This window comes from Homo sapiens, chromosome 13 (genome assembly GCF_000001405.40).
Source record: "Homo sapiens chromosome 13, GRCh38.p14 Primary Assembly".
NCBI classification, from domain to species: domain Eukaryota; kingdom Metazoa; phylum Chordata; class Mammalia; order Primates; family Hominidae; genus Homo; species Homo sapiens.
In genome coordinates, this window is record NC_000013.11 from 66,365,992 (window position 1) to 66,383,419 (window position 17,428).

The 17,428-nt window shown below is 33.6% G+C and overlaps 1 protein-coding gene across 5 annotated transcripts in view; it reads right to left on the reverse strand.

Moving 5' to 3' along the window:
• Positions 1–17,428, reverse strand: part of PCDH9 (protocadherin 9) — a 927,503-nt gene that overhangs the window by 63,158 nt on the left and 846,917 nt on the right. The window lies entirely within an intron of this gene.

Sequence of the window (17,428 nt, forward strand, 5' to 3'; positions counted from 1 at the left end):
AAATATGAAAAGTATCTCTGTGATTTATTGTAACAGTTTCAGAATCACTCAAAAAGTATACATAGTAAAACTTTCAGCCAAGTTATATTAATACTAGGATTTACCAAATCAAAATGAGGGGATAAAACAGTGGCCAAGAAAATCTATTATTTCTTCCTTGGGCTTTAGATTGAACCTAGATGATTTATTGGCTTCTTTTAATCCCATTAGTTTATTTTTAAAAATCTTTTTCTCACCCCAAATGCTATTATTCTCATCTTATTATTGAACTTTGCAGAATTAAAAAGTTATTTTCCTAATTATAATCATTCTTTAATTCTACTTATGGAACACCTAATATCAACAGATTTCCATAAGTAATTTTTTTGCATGTTCCTAAAATTTATTGAGTAATATTTTCTCAAGAATCTGTTATTTTTCTCTTCTAGGACGCTATCCTTCAACTCACCCTAAATCAGACTCCATCTTTCCTTTAAAAATGTCCACCTAAGTTGATTTCTCTCTCTTTTAAATCCTTCTAATAGCATTTCATTTCTTGTTTGTAAAATTGAACTATGAGACTTTTTAATATTGACTATTTTTAAATTTTTAAATATGTGAGTACATTATTTACCTAAGTAAATTGCACTCTAAGTAATCCCTCTAAGATAGAGGGAAGTGAAGGTGTTAAACTTCTAATAATTTCTCAGAGAGCATTTCGTAGTTCTTATGGTAAATGTGTACAGAGCTCCTAGACACATAATAAGCATCCCCAAAACATTAGCTGATAAAAATAGTAAAAGCTCAATAAATAATTGATTTCATTATAATTCAGTGTATCTGGATAGTATATGTGATTATACTTAAATTACCCTGGTTCACCTGAGTTAGTTTTATAGTATATGATAGAAGCAGCTTAACTCACAAACATTTATCATTACAATTTACCTCAAACATTACATGCCCAGTAAATCCCAGCAATTTTCAGCATCTGTGGTTATGTTTAGCAAGAATCAACACTAATCATCTTTCATTTCCTATTTTTAATATCACACATAATGTATAAAATAATCTTCACAGCTTTTTGTGCTAGTGCAACATTAATTTTTAAATTTATTTAATTTATTTGTACATTTACTTTTTTCAATATTATTCATATGTCTACCCAAACCAAACCAATGTTAAACGTATATTATGTAGGTTATTTATTCATTTTATTTCTCCTTCACCTTCAGCAACATTTTATTTTTCTAATGCTTATCTATTGACTTCAAATCCATTTCCAAAAATAACTAATAGGGAGAGTCATTTTAAAAATTACAAGCAAATAAATAGAAACATGCTCACAGTGGTAAACGTAACAGACACTCTGTTTGCATTAAGTTCAGAATAGAGGCTACAAATACAAAAGTCAATAAACAATTATTTTAAATAAATGCACATTTCCTTGTCAACCAAAATGTTTCAGTTCTAACTATTGTGCTGAAATTGCAACTACAGGCTCAATCGTAAAACCAAGAGCTATGCTCCAGGGAAGCATTTTTAACTAAACATCCCTGACTGATTCATTGCAATATCACATCAAGACTGAAAAATTCTGGGTTCAAAGGTGGCCAGTGGGAGGAAAAAAACAAAAAGGTTTCACATGCTTCTGTAGAAAGAAATAAAATGGCAAGCATAGGGAGCTGCATGGTGTGATAGAGCCTCACATTTTTGAAGGGGTGACACTAAATAGATAACCAGGAAAGTAAAAGAAGTGGCCATTCACAAGCATTATGCTTTGCTCAGATGTTTGGACTATATTAAAATGAGTAGGGAAAGCCATTGAAATATCTTTGAAGAGGATGTGATGAAGTTTGCCTTTAAAAAATAATTCTAGGAACTCTGTAAAGCTTATTAGAAAGAATGAAAAAGATACCTTCCATATGTAACACATAAAATTAAACCTCTTTGTAAGCAACTTCCATGCAATCCTTAGACATTTTCTAGAAATTTTTCATCTCTTTAAAGTGCAATCAAAAGGTCAAAATATAAATAAGTTTTGAAACACAAATTGAACATTTAAGTGAGGACTTTGATAAAAAAATGTAAATGACAAACTAAATATTTGAAGCCAGAATAAGTGAGGTACATATCAATAAAATTCAGTTTAAAAAAGAAAGAAAAATAGTGCATTTTTAAGGATAAAAATTAAATTTAACTTTTCTAGAACAGAGAGTGAACATTTTCTAAATGTCTTTAACATTACTAAATGAGTTAAAATTTTAATGTAAAAATTAATTTGAAAGTACACCAGTTTGTGTTCCTTTTACCAAGAGATACAGCCAAAATGTGTTTCAGAATTTTAAAGACAATTTTAAATTGTTGAATATATTATTAATGCAAAATTTTAAGATAGTTTTCCTCTCTCTTAAAGTAGGTATTTGTTAATTCCTTTTAGTGCTCAATTATTAGGCTTACTAAAATAAGTGACACCCCCAATTTTATATTAAATAAGAGTGATATAACCTTCCCTATACATTTCAGAACCAGTTTCTGAAAAAAAATTAAATATTATGAATTTACATTCAATACATTCTATTTTATATATATGTATATTCGTGTATATATATATATGTGTGTGTGTGTGTATTTATATATACACATATATGGCTAGAGAGCAAATGTTGTATCAATTAAACCACCATACATTTATATGATTAGTGTATTAGTCCATTTTCATGCTGCTGATAAAAACATACCCAAGACTGGGCAATTTACAAAATAAAGAGGTTTAATGGACTTAGAGTTCCACATGGCTGGGAGGCCTTATAATTGGAAGCCAAGGAGGAGCAAGTCACGTCTTACATGGATGGCAGCAGGCAAAGAGAGAGAGCTTGTGCAGGGAAACTCTCCCTTATAAAACCATCAAATCTCATGAGACGTATTCACTATCATGAGAACGGCATGGGAAAGAACTGCCCCCAGGATTCAACTACCCCCACACCGGGTTCCTCCTACAACACATGGGAATTCAAGATGAGAGTTGTGTGGAGATGCAGCCAAGCCATATTAATTAGGACCCTTCTTTTGTTTCTCTTGCTAAAATAAAACTAAGAAAGTTCAAAGAGATTTTTCTTTGGTTTGTTGGATTTACAAGTATACTTGCTAGTCTTTAGAAATGGCTGCATCTGCCCTTAAATGTGTCTTAATTACAAGTGTTTTTAAGGGTGAACATCTGTGCCCTTTACTGCAACTACATAGATACTTTGACACTTATCTGAGAAGAATATGTGGTTAAACTTGTGCACTATACTTGCTAATTCACTTTATTTAGCATAAATCAGGAATATTTATAGGTTAATTCTGTATCACTTTGATATACCACTTATACTAACACAATTTTGTTTCCTATAGTTAGTTTATGACATAACATTAGAATCAGATGAGTTTTTCTTTTTAAATGGGATTTTGACTTGGTGAGAAGGAAATGTAAGATCTCTTCCTTCTTTCCTCTTTTCTTTAGTAAAATGCAAGTTTCTTGATGTAGAGAAGAGTTCTCTGCATTCCTGCACTCTTGATAATCTCTTGACTTTAAAATAACACACTACCTCAGCAAGTATACTACTACTTATTTTTTGAAAAAGAAGGTAATTTTATGTTCCTTATTACTTAAATAATCTAAAATGGGGCAAAGAATAGAGGGAGATTCTTTAGTCACAGGGTATGAAGTTAAACACTTAAAAGTAACTGAACTTAAAAGTAACAGTGCTTCTTTCTGAGTTAGCAAGTGAATATGGTATATGGTGAAGGCTGGTTGGGAATGAGCCAGCAAAAAATACTTTTGATTGAAAGACTGTTACTGGAAATTGTTGACAGTATGGCCTAAAAATTGTCTATTAGTAGTCCTTTGGGATGATATTTTGTCAAAAATGTCAGAAATGAACATTCCCCAGAAAGCAGTGGAAGTATTTTCTTTGGAAAGAATTTCTGACATATATTGGGTCAGAATTTCTCCAGTGAAAAATACAGTGAAGAATAAATGTGTACGTTTTGCTAAGCAACTATCATTGCTTTTTAAGTCAAATATCCACTGGTCCCAAGAAGGCCTTAACATTCCTCTTCACTGCACTCAACACTGACTCTAGGTCCCTGACCTCCTTTTCTTTGAGCTTTTACCTTAATAAACATGTGATTTTAAATACTTGCTCTGCCCCTTTGAGATGTAAATCTTCTACAAATCAGGAATGTCTTCCTCAAGGACCTAGGAGCCATCCTTCTTAAATGTAATAATCTAGAAAAATAGAGTCCCTGTCTCCCAGTCTCTGTGGGAGAGTAGAAGCTTAACTTGGATAAGCACCAATTAGCAAATACAGATGGCTAATTACATAGATGGACCTCCCTGCTACAGTTCTCCAGTACTTTCCCATTGTTTACCCCTTTTTGTTTCGGTAAAGTGTGTTCAACTTCCTCCCTCATTACAATAAATTGGACTTCTGTTGCCATAATCGTTTTGTTTCTTTGTTTGTTTTGTTTTTTCTTTTCTTTTTTATTTATGTATTCATTTTTTTTTTTTTTTGAGACAGGGTTTCCTTCTGTTGCCCCAACTGGAGTGCAGTGGTGTGATCATGTCTCGCTCTATCCTTGAATGCCCAGGCTCAAGGGATCCTCCCGTATCAGCCTCTTGAGTAGCTGGGACTACAGGTACATGCCATCATGCCCAGTTAATTTTTCAAAAAATTTATGTAGAGACAAGGTGTCACTATTTTGCCCAGCCTGGTCTCAAACTCCTGGGCTCAAACAATCCACCTGCCTCAGACTCCCAACATGCTGGGATTACAAGTATTAACCACTGCTTTTGGCCTCCTATTGCCATAGTCTTGAATAAACTCTTCCTTGCTATTTTTACCTAGTGTCTATTATGATTTTTCTTTTAAAGCTGTCAACATTTCTTTGAATTTAAGAATTAAAGTCATGTTATTCAACTATATTTTTTAAACATCTCATCATGGGTAAATTCAAAACAATATTTTGCTGCCTTTATTAGAAAGTTAGAAATGATAATGACACAGACATAGCTGATTAAAACTTAATGAGCTTTGAGGGAAATCATAAATGTTCCCTTTTGATTATAAGAACATCTTTCCTAATGATGTAAGATGCTTTTTTAAAAGAAATACTGTGAGTTCAAAAATAGCACAAAGGTGGTAAAATTGTTCTCTATATTTGAGAAAATCTTTCATGATCGCATTTTCCCTAATCTTTTTCAAGTCATTAATGTTAAAATAGCATCTCCCAGAAAAAAAGTCAATCAACATGGGAAAAGTGAGGGAATTAGCTTGGTGACTTTCCAGTTAACCTGCCTTTAATACATGATATTGAGATTTTCTTGGATGGTTGGATATTACACATTCTTAGTGTGATCAAAGAAAGATATAATTTATAATCATACCTTTTTGACATTCTGTATACTCTGCCTGTATAGGAAAGACTTTGTATTTCAAGGGATATATCTTTAGTTCAATTAATTAAAGCTTTGTCCTTTGTTGGAGGGGTATGTATTGAGGTATATTTTATAATATTTCTGGAGAAAAACTTGTTTGTTCAAAATAATGTGTCCTTTTGCACCAACTAACTACAACAAAACTCCTTAAAATTTATTTTTTTCTTTAATTCTTAATGCCCATGAAATAAAATAGAGATATAACTTAAAGAACCTAACAGATTAAAGTAGCTCTTAATTTTAAATTGAGCTAATTTTTAGCTTCCAGGCTAATAAACTAAGAACAACAAACAGGATACTAAACGCCGAATGAAACACTACTTTTGATAATAAGAAAAATCCTATGCCATTACTTACATTTTTTCCTCAGAGCTTTGTTGCAGAAGTCAAACTTTTTGGTTTGTTTGTTTCCCTCATGATCTCTTCCCTGCAGAGAAAAGCTGCAGGAGTTTGCCTAAAAGATTTGTGATCTTCAGGCTCAACTACAAGCCCTGCTTGAATAGCTTTCTCCTTGTTTTTTCTCTGCTTAGCAAATATGAAGCTATCACCATCTTTAAGAATCTGAAGAGACTCCCTCCCACTTCTTAATACTTATGTTAATTTATTTGTTGATTCATTACCCTCAAATATATGTACTGATTGCTAATTGTGTGCAGAGTGCTCTGTTATGCACCACAGAAGTTGAAAAGATGAAAACACATGCACCATCTGCCCTCAAGTTGTAGTTTGGAAACTAAATCTTGTATAAAAATTAAGATCTATAAATAACTAAAGTACATGACAGAAAGTGATAAATTCCATAGAAGAAAAATCAATAAAGTGATACCAGAGTTCTAGTTTTGGAAAGGTTGTAAAAAACATGAAATCAGGGATGGTTTCAGAATTCTATCTGCGGCCTAAAGGACATAAAGGATTTAACTGAGAGAGAGCGAGAGTAAGTATGTTTTATAAATTTCCAGATGGTGAACATCATATAAAAAGAGTCGAGAAGATCAGAAAGTAAAAAGTGAAGGATATATTTCTGAAAGTAAGACAGACTTGGTGAAGGGAAATGGTAGAAGCTAGATGGGTAAGAGGTTAAAATTATAACAAGTCTTGATCGCATAGTAGCCAATGAATGGAGAAGCTTTTAAATATCAAGCAGAAGAACAGCATCAGAGTGGCATTATAAAGACATTCTTTGTCATAAGTTTAAAAGCATATTGGAAGAAGGGAATGTCCATTGGCAAGACAAGCCCCTAAGCACACAAATATAATGATCTGGGTATGAAGCAATTTCATCTATAAGCATGATAGCATCAGAATATGTTGAGGAGGTGAAATATGTAAAATATGATCACTGATTGGACATTAGGAGTAAGCCAGAGAACAGAGAATATTAGATGACCCTAATTTAGCCTGGTGCCTAGGGTGCCTTGTAACATAGATGGCTGGCTCTAGTGTTAGGGTCAACACTATGATGGTTCTTCAAGAAACAAAAAACTAAATAAACTTATTACACAATCTAGCAATACCACTTCTGAGTATAATACATATCCAAAAGAATTAAAAGCAGAATCTCATGGACATAGTTGTAAATTAGTGTTATAGCAACATTATTGTCAATAGACAAAAGGTGAAAACAATCGAAAAGGTCATCAGTCAATAATTGGATAAACTCTTAATAAATATGGTATATTTTATAATGAAATATTATTTAGCCACAACAGGGAAGGAAATTCTGACACAAACCAGATGAATAAACCTTAAGGACGTTATGCCAGATGAAATAAGACACAAAAAGACAAATACCAAGTGATTTCATTTATGTGAAATCCAGAGTAATCCAACTTACAAACTTACAAAAACAGAAAGTAGAATGATGATTGCCAGTGGTGGCGGGTTGGGGGGTGAATAAATGGGAAATTGTCGTTTAATGGGTGTAGAGTTTCAATTTTGCAAGCTGAAAATATTCTGGAGATTAGTTGTTCAAAAATGTAAATATATTTAACACTACTGAACTATATACACTTAAAATTGTTAAGGTGGTAAATTTTATGTTACATATGCTTTATTGCAACTAAATTTTTTAATTAAAAAAGAAAAGGAAAGAAAAAATGAAAGATGAAGAAAGAACCACAGATACACTCGTATATTTAATCAGAATTATTTCTTCAATACAGTGAATAGTGGAGAGAGAATGTCAAACAGAAATGACCTTTAAAAATGACCAGGATCTATTAAACAGCAACACAAATAAGGAAGAGAAAATTTGATCTATATAAGAGTAGGTAGTAATATTTTAACAAATGGATAAAATTAATTGTTGGATCCTGTCAAACAAAGGTTTTCATAGTTCCCACTCCGTGGGTATGAGCACAGTGTTATAGAAGGCCAGACTTCCAGTCTTGGCTTCTGATACCTTCTATTTATAAGACCTTGTAAAAGTCACTTAATGATTCAAAACAATTTATCAGTAATACCTGCTTATATCATAGGATTATTCAGAATTTCAAAAATACATTTATTAGTGTTTTGCGTACAAGAAAGGCAAATATTATTATCATCTGCCGACCTCCTTGATGGGTTTTGTGTAAACAATGATAATTGCTAGGTTAATTGCTGCAGGGGATTGCCAGAGACTGTCAAAGGTGGGCAAATGCCATTTTTAGCTATGAACATTGCACAATGCATTGTGATCAATGCTGAGAACAAAGGAGATAATATAGACTCAAAAATCTGAACTCACTTACCAGGTCTGTATATTTATATGAATATAATTCAACTGTAAAATCCAATATTTATTTTCTCCTTGCTGCATGCTATTATTAAGTGTTGATCTTTCAGGTAAGTTCTCCATATAGCATTAGAGAGGAAGGAATGGGAAGAGAACAAGGGACATGCGAATTTGACAGAACATGAAGAGGAGATAGGAAAAATGAGCGTGAAGGAGGAATTAAAAAGATAATACTTTTAGAAATTTGATTAGAGAATTTTTGTTCATTTAGATTGCAGCCCATAGGAAGCCGGGGAGACAGGAAATAGCAATTTTTATCACTGAGCTTGGTACTCTACACGTTATTTAATTTAATTTAATTTTTACAGTAATTTAAGAAGATAGACTTATATTTTCATTTTTTAAATGAGGACGTTGTCATAAAATTTGCCCCAGTCACACAAGTAGTACATAGTAGGTGGATTTCCAGTCACTTCTCTCTGCCTGCTGTGAATCAGCATTTTTCATAATGCCACTCCATCAAACTTCCACCTCCCAAAATGCATCCAGGTGGATTATCAGAAAGATCGCAGCTCAGGGGTATTTCACATTCTAAACTTAAACTGTCACTAACTGCAGGGTATATGTCTATAAAACAGAATATATTCCTTTGTTGAGCAACAAGATGTATTTCTTCATTGAGGACAGACTGGTCAGAGTTTGTTAGAGCTGAAGGAATAGTAGATCATCACAGCTAATGTTCTCATTGAGGACAATTCAGATCAGAAAAATGAAGGAATTTGTCTAAAGGAACTCAATCAGTTGACAGTTTTAGGTAAACAGATATGAATTGTTAAGTATAACTCAGGAAGATTTAAAGGCCAGTCAGAGATTAATAGAGTACTGTCTAATACATGATTAACTCTACTTAAAATATCGAATATGCTACTAAACGATAACATAAATTTCATTGCCAATAGTATAGTTACTTTATCAAAAGTTGCCAGTCATCGACAGATGAAGTTAAGACAATTTTTCTGTAATTCCATATAATTACTCAGGTGCCTACTGATAATATTTCTAACTCTGTCCCCAAATTTCTTAGAAGTAACCCCACATGTCATCTGTAATTAGTAAAACTTAGCAACCTGGAAACTTTTTATTTCCTATCCTTCAATTGAATCAGATCTTTTGTGATATTATTTTTACTCACTCATTTCATATACTTTTTACTCGTCCTCAAAACTAGGCTATTGCTTTGTTTTTTGTTAATGTAATAAGAAAAAAAAACTTGTAGTATATTTGCTCTTCCATTCTCAATCATTATAGGTAATACCTATATACTTTAATGCAACTTTAATAGGAAATAGCAGGACAAGTGACAGAAAGGAGTGTCTTCAATAATTAGTGACTGTGATTTACAAAATTTTAAGTATTATCTTGTAATATTTCTTACTGGCTGGTAATGTAAATGTAGCCATGCTAGAAAACACTCTAAATTACAGGCAGAAGTAAGAAAGTGCATATAACAAATTGATGATATTTTATAACCATGAATTTAACTATTATTTAAGATGAAATATGACCTGAATAAGTGTATTACTTTATACAGTATAAAATCATTATATCTGAGCCAAGAGGATATATTCCCCCTCAAGAATGTATTTCCCCTCAACTACTCCATTATTCCATAGTACAAGTTGAGCTTCCATTAGGGTCAAAGTGCTTCACGAGATAATTAAAGCAAAAAACAACAACAAAAAAATAGGCTTCAGTTCTCCTCTGTGAGTACAGTGCATCTAATAAGAAACAGATGTTCAACTTACAAACAACCAGAAAACACCAATAAAGGCAGCTCATCCTTATAACTGACTCCCATGAAGTTAAACAATTCAAAGTTTCCTACCCAAGATGAGAATCATTCACACAGAAATGTGGAGAGAAAATTCCGTGCCCCCAGATTTACCACTACCAAAAATAGAAGGAATTAAACAGAGTTGAGTGAGAGAACCTAGCACCTTAACCCATATCATAATACAGTGGAGGGTCACTAAACTGTCACCTTTGCCTTTAAACAACTCACTAGATAAACTGAGGGTGTCTTTTGTAGTCTGAAGTCTAAAGACTAAAACCTTTCACACACTGAATGCTGAAGTGAAGTAAGTTAGCTCCTGTTCCTCAACTCTCACCAACTGGGCTGCCTGCCTGAGTTAAGTATTTTTGTTTGTTCTCGAAATTGATCTTAAAATTGAAATTGTTCTTGTTTCATATAATTAATATGATCTTTTTTTGCAGTTGTTCTCCTTATAATAATGTAATTTCATTAAAGTTTTATGCATCATTAATATTGACTTTGACTTTAAAAAGTCAAAGTAAAACAGATGACTTTTTTTCATGAAAACTAAGATGCTTTCTTTTAAAAGGCAAAATGAAAACAAGTTACCCAAACAAAAGAAAAAATACAAGTATTTTTCAATTATTTGTGGATAAAATGTGTGACAGTTGAAGGGAAATATCATAAAAATTCAGAGAAGAGTGTATCAAAACTTCTTTACATGTATCTTTAAATGCTAGATCTATGTAGAAGATTATGAAAATGAATGAATTATACTACTATTAGGCAAGAAAAGTAGAACTTCATTAAGGAGACTACTGCCAAAAGACAATTCTGGCAATACATTAAAAAAGATGGGCAAATGGCTGTACATTTACATGTTTAAATTGAAATGTTTTTTGTTATTCCTGCTTTATTCAAAAATGAAATAACCATTTATCTGGGATGATAGCATCAGTAATATGGCCTTCTGTTATACTAAATTATTAATAGTAGCAAAATAATAAAAAAATCTGTGCTGACAACACTAGAAACCGGCTTAACCAAGATGCCCTGCACAGAATGTAATAGGTACGGAGAGAATTTGTGTTTTGGTGTGGTCATATTGTCATTTGTAAGAAATCACCATATCTGTGAAGAAAATATAATTGGGCCAGAATTGTTAGTTTTGCATGCACATGGACCGAAGTGGGACAGTCAGTCATGTCATATTTAGTAGCCACCCACTCTGTACAGCTCATTGTACATTGAACATATTTGAGGCCAGTTGTTCTCAAATCTTAGAAGGATCAGAAGCACCTGGGGGGCTTGTTAAAACCCAGACTGCCAGTCCCCGCCCTGAGTTTCTGATTCAGGAGGTCTGGGACGAGGCTCAAGAAGTTGCATTTCTAACAAGTTCCCAGGTGATACTGCTCTTGCTGGTTCAGCAACCATGGTAGGAATGTTTTGGGATATGAAAACACAAACCAAAACCAAATCAAGATAGTTTTACTCTAGAAATATTTTCATTCTTAAAAGAAAAAAAAAGATATGCTGAATTTACATGCAAAAAGCAAAGTGTATGCATAACTCAATATATAAGTTAACCACTTGGTTGGCTGTCCACTGATGCATCCCAGAGTCTGCTGGAGTCAATAATATGAAAGGACTTGGAAGGAATTAACCAGAAAAATATTTTTCTTCTGAAGAAAAAAGCAGGGAGAGTGAGCACTTGCGGGAACAAACAAATGTGACTTAGCATGTGCTAAGAAATATTTTGAAAGCACACAGAAAATTGCATCTGTCTCTTTCCTTCAAATTTGTGCAATTTAGAGCTAACTGATAAAATTCTTGCTGTCAACCCTGTGTTATCTATATGTCCGTCATTCTTTCACCTTAATTTTTCTGCCTGGTATTCTCTTTTCTTTTCCTAATGTTTCTTTCTGTCTGTATTTTTAGGTGTAGTCACTGTCACAAGATTTTCAAAGTCAACATTTCAGTAATAGTTCCAATTCTGTTACAAGCTGATCCTAAATGTATCATTCTGTTAATTGGTGTAATAGATTAAAATCTACTTGGAAAACATTTAAATGGTGGAGAGAAAGGAAAATTTATTCAAAATGAGACTCTAGGTTACATTTTTCTATTCCTCTTTAAAGGGTTGATCATAGAAATAACTTTGCCGAAAAGCCCTGAGGATGAAGAGAAGTGCAATCTGTGTGTTCAAATGAAAATAGATTTAATCACATGAACTGTGCTGGAATTATTTTCATTCAACCTTTCAAAGATGTAATAATATTTTATACCAGCTTGCCCAAGCCCTAGGTTTTGTGAGAAGTAATCCATCCTGAGTTCATTTTACAGTTGTTAGCTCCTTAACTGGAGATGGGTAAGTGCTTTTTTTTTGTATCCAAAGATATACTCTCTGTAAAACAGTCCTTCTGAGATTGGGACAATGAATAATCTCTCTGTGTGTGTATGTGTTTAACTGTAAATTTTCACACAGACCTCATCAGACACTACAAGAAAGTCATCGTAAAGACTGCATTTTTTAAAATTAAATGAGAAACCTGAAAACCTGTTTTTAGGAGCTGCACTGAAGACCTATGATTGTAGAATGATTCTAGAATTTCTTCACCTAGACCTGAGTCCTTGTGTGGTTAGGAAATGCTCTTGTGTATCATTATCATAGTTATTCTTGTAAATAAGTATTCATTAAATGTTATTACATAGGAAAGATCTAGAAAGACTAATTGTAGCTCTTAGAACTTATTATAACTACCTATAAATTAAGCTGTTGAATGTTTACACATAAAAGGACTAGAACTAAGTTTTATTGTCTCACTCATAGCTAAGAGTGATATGTAAGGTTAGGATTTTTAGACATCTAGCAAATAAGGAAAAGAGTGTAGGTCATTCAATTCTGTGAACCTGGAGTTTGCTGCTGAATTAGAAAGATGACACAGTTCACCAAGCAAGTCACCTTCAAGCTGTCAATATCTGGCCTTTGTCTCTCAAGGGAAACTATGCAGCAACAGACACTTAGAATTTTCCACTGTATAGGCAATCCCTACCTAATTGTTTAGCAGGAAGTATCCCAACAATCTGTACAGCAGATGTGACTACTTCGCTTAACACTAGCAGATGAAGAAATAAGGGCAGAAGAGTCATATGCTAATGGAAAAGATGCACAGAGAAACTGCTGCATGGGCATAGGTAATACACCTCTCTCCGGCCATCTGTCCTACCATGTGTGCTGCACATCACAAGAGGATGTGAGAAGGGGTGGACAGCTGAGTGCAACTTACAAACAGGTTTTTCGGAGTGAAAATATGATTGCTTTCAATAGCAGTGTGACACTGGAGTATACAAATTTTTATTGATATTGCAAGGAATGTGTTACTAATATTAAAATTAAAGGACCAAAGGCTTTAAGTATTATATATTTTTATAAATATAAATTAGTGTCACGTCACTCATTACTTTCCATCACTGTGTTCTGGGGTTATTTCTTGAGTGGCAAGGAAAAATGCATAGTTATGCTGAGATGCAAGAATTACACATGACAGTTTCTTTGTATGACACCAATTCTGCATAAATAAATGAAACAAAGGCTGAGAGGAGATTCTGCAGGACACCACAGACCAAGGTAATGCTTACAAAGCTCTGAGCCAAAGAGGCAGGGTATCTATAGTGCTGTATTACCCTGGCATTCATTTGTATTACCCTGGCAATCAAGTCAGAACTCGGCATAGTATCTTAGTAGTTTGAGTGCCGTGTTTAAACGATAAAAAGTTTAAAATACTGTGTCTGAATTATATTTTTGCCTGTATATATAAATAAATCAAATTCAGGCAATCAGCTTTCCAGAATTATTTCTTAAAAAATACAACTACCTTTGACTCTGATTTAAAAAAAACAAAAAAAGCATTCTGAATAACTAGTTGGGGCAAATGGCCTGTGCCTCAAAACAAACAAACAAATAAAACCCCAAAATTAGGTTGTCAATTTTTAGATAGAGAAGAAGAAAGATAATTCCAAGAATTTCACGTAGAATATATATATATTTCACTTAGAATATATATGGACCTAGTTAAATCAACAGTCATTCAAACATACAGTTGATATCAGGAATTAATATGTAGCATATAGAAAAAGTATATAACCTCTCTGAGAGCAAACTGGCTCTCTGATCATAAGCAATTTGGTGGCAGCGATATAGATTTTAATCCTGAGAAATATATTGTGTTTTTTAAATAGACATGATAATTAGCTTCCTAACACTAGGATAATAAGACAGTCAAACTAGGTAAAATAATAGCTATGTTTGGGATTTCAAGAAATAAACTTTAAAACTGCTGTCAATACCAATGGCATCTAAAGATATTACATATTCTTTTCCTAGTTCATGGATTTCCTTAAGCGTTCACACTGAAAGAACTGAAAGCAATCTGAGGAACTTGTGAAGTGATAAGACAAAAACAAGACGAAACTCCATGGTGAATTGACATTGTAATGAGTATAGTAGATTACACATAATGCCGGAAGAAAAAAAAATAGAGAATAGATCTTGTCCTTTTTTTTTTTTTTTTTTTTTTTTTGAGACAGAGTCTTGCTCTGTTGCCCAGGCTGGAGTGCAGTGGCGTCATCTCGGCTCACTGCAAGCTCCGCCTCCCGGGTTCACGCCATTCTCCTGCCTCAGCCTCCTGAGTAACTGGGACTACAGGCGCCCGCCACCACGCCCGGCTAATTTTTTGTATTTTTAGTGGAGACGGGGTTTCACCGTGTTAGCCAGGATGGTCTCGATCTCCTGACCTCGTGATCCACCCGCCTCGGCCTCCCAGAGTGCTGGGATTACAGGCGTGAGCCACCGCGCCAGCCAGATCTTGGTTGTTTAAAGAGAGAAAATCACATTTCCCTCCATGGTCTGTAAGATATGATGTAATCTGTTTTTTTCTTTAGGACCCAAAATTTAACTCTGATTAAGTTGAAGTAATACGCGTGTCAACTTTCAGTAAGAGACACACAAAAAAAGTGTTTCTATCAATGTAAACATGCTTGCAAAACAATCTAGTTACCCCATCTTTACTCTTGTCAAAAAAATAGTTTTCTTTGAAGAAGAGAGTTTGAAATTATATTTCAAAACTAGGAGTTAGATGCACTTCTCCCTCTGAGACCATCATTTTGGCAACAGTCTCTCAGAAATTATTTTGTATTCCTTAAGCTTCAATCAGGGCTTCAACTTTCTTTTCCACAGGTGACAAAATTACATCTTATAAAGAGTTTTGAATTCATTATGAAAAATAATAGATCTTTAGGATTTAAAAGTAAAAGAACCATGCTGGACAAGTATGTGGAGCATCCATTTCCTCATTTTATAGTGACATAATCTTTGATTTTATTAAAATGTATGACTGTGCTCAAATAGTAAAACTTATGTGTATAAGTAGCCCCTTAGTAGCTTCCATAGAGGTTACAAATAATTCAAAACAATTTTATTCTTGTTACACTGTGTAAGGCTTACTTTTAGTACTAAAAATAAACAATATTGGCTTTTTGTAAATTAAAACAGCGTTCTCTGAAACATAGAAACAAAATACAACAACAACAACAAATGTGCCCTAAATCATAAGCATAGCAAAAGTCTTGGTTGGCGATCTTAGAAAAAATAAGCATACAGCCAGTCAGTAAAGCAAACAAAGGCGAAGGCAATGAAAAGCAGTCAAAATTTTAAACTAGGTCTTTTCAAATGATTTTTATTACAAAAAATTCTCCTGATTCTTTCATTTCTCCTTGAAAAGAATTTCAAACTGTATAGACTTCCCTGTAAGCATCTTATGTATGAGTAGTTTTAAAACTTTCCAACTCTCACCCTGGCTCTACTTTAGAACTGCAGTAAATTAGACAGGAGTTTTTAAGTTGACTCTAAATGGCTATAATTAAATCCTCACTTAGCACTTTGCCATCTATACCAAGGGCAAGCTCAATGTGATAAGGGATGTGTAAGAGTAGAATTATTGAAAGAAAAAAAAAAAGAAAACCTGTGACTTGGCATAGATTATTGTGTAAAGAGTACAGGTTAGACGTTCCAATGATTTATTCTACAAAGAAGTTGTTATATAAAGATGAAAAAGGGTAGATGAATAGAGGAAAAGTAGTATAATCTTTCCTTTTACAGCTATGCTTAAAAGTGAACTCTTACTCAGGAAATCTATTACTTGCTAAACTTTTCATCTTCTAAATTCATCATGAAAACAAATGTACTTTTTTGAAAATGACCCTAATTCAAATCCAATGTGTACTGATAAGTCAAATTGTTTGAAGTGAATCTAATTAGCAAGAATAGGCCACCTAGCCCATGGGTAAGGAAAGATATCTGATGAGACCTAGAAACAGGATGTCTATTAATGTCAAGAATGGCAGGGTTGGTGGTTACTCAGAAAATATAGCTGCTAAGTTGAGTGAAAAAAAAAAAGTGTCCTATTTGAAATAAGAAGGGAATTACCAATTGCTATTGTCCTAGCTACTAAAAAACTTAAAATAGAAACAAAGACATAGAACATGGCTGTTGTAGCAATTATAATCATGTTTGAATGAAATTTTATGAACTTCTCACTTGATCAGTTAGTAAACTACTTTTTATTTTTAGGAACAAATTAATTTTTAGAGATGAAGTGAACATTTATCAGACAGGTACAGTTTAATAGTGAGGATTTCTGATTTTTCTATAACTCAAAGACAAGCTGTAATATGATCTAAGGATTACAAAATATTCTTAATTATTTTGTGGCCAGGCGCGGTGGCTCACGCCTGTAATCCTAGCACTTTGGAAGGCCGAGGCAGGTGGATCACTTGAGGTCAGGAGGTCAAGACTAGCCTGGCCAACATGGTGAAACTCTGTCACTACTAAAAATACAAAAAATCAGCCAGGCGTGGTGGCGCATGTCTGTAATCCCAGCTATTCGGGAGGCTGAGGCAAATCCCTTAAACTTGGGAGGTGGAGGTTGCAGTGAGCCAAGAACATGCCATTTCACTCCAGCCTGAGCAATAGAGCGAGACTTTGTCTCAAAACAAACAAAAACAAACAAACAGAAGATTATTTTGAATATGGAGGAAAATGTACCATATATTTACAAAGCACAATATAGTTCACTTGAGTATTATCAGGCATTATTTTCTGATGATCAACAACACTGTCTGAATAGAAGGGAAATTACACTGTGAACATTTATCTAAGAAAAAGGAGATGCAATGAGCACAAAAAATGGCATGCCTCCGTATGAGTGCTTCACCAACGTATAAGAGGAAGGGTCTTTTGACTCCTTCTTCGTACATATTTTACTCTCATAACATTGGTTTTAAAGAACTGTATCTCATTACCTTTCTTCTAAGAAAAATTGAGTGCTTGGTGTTCATGTTTCATTCAAAATGCTCAGAAACGTATCTCCTCCTGGGGAAG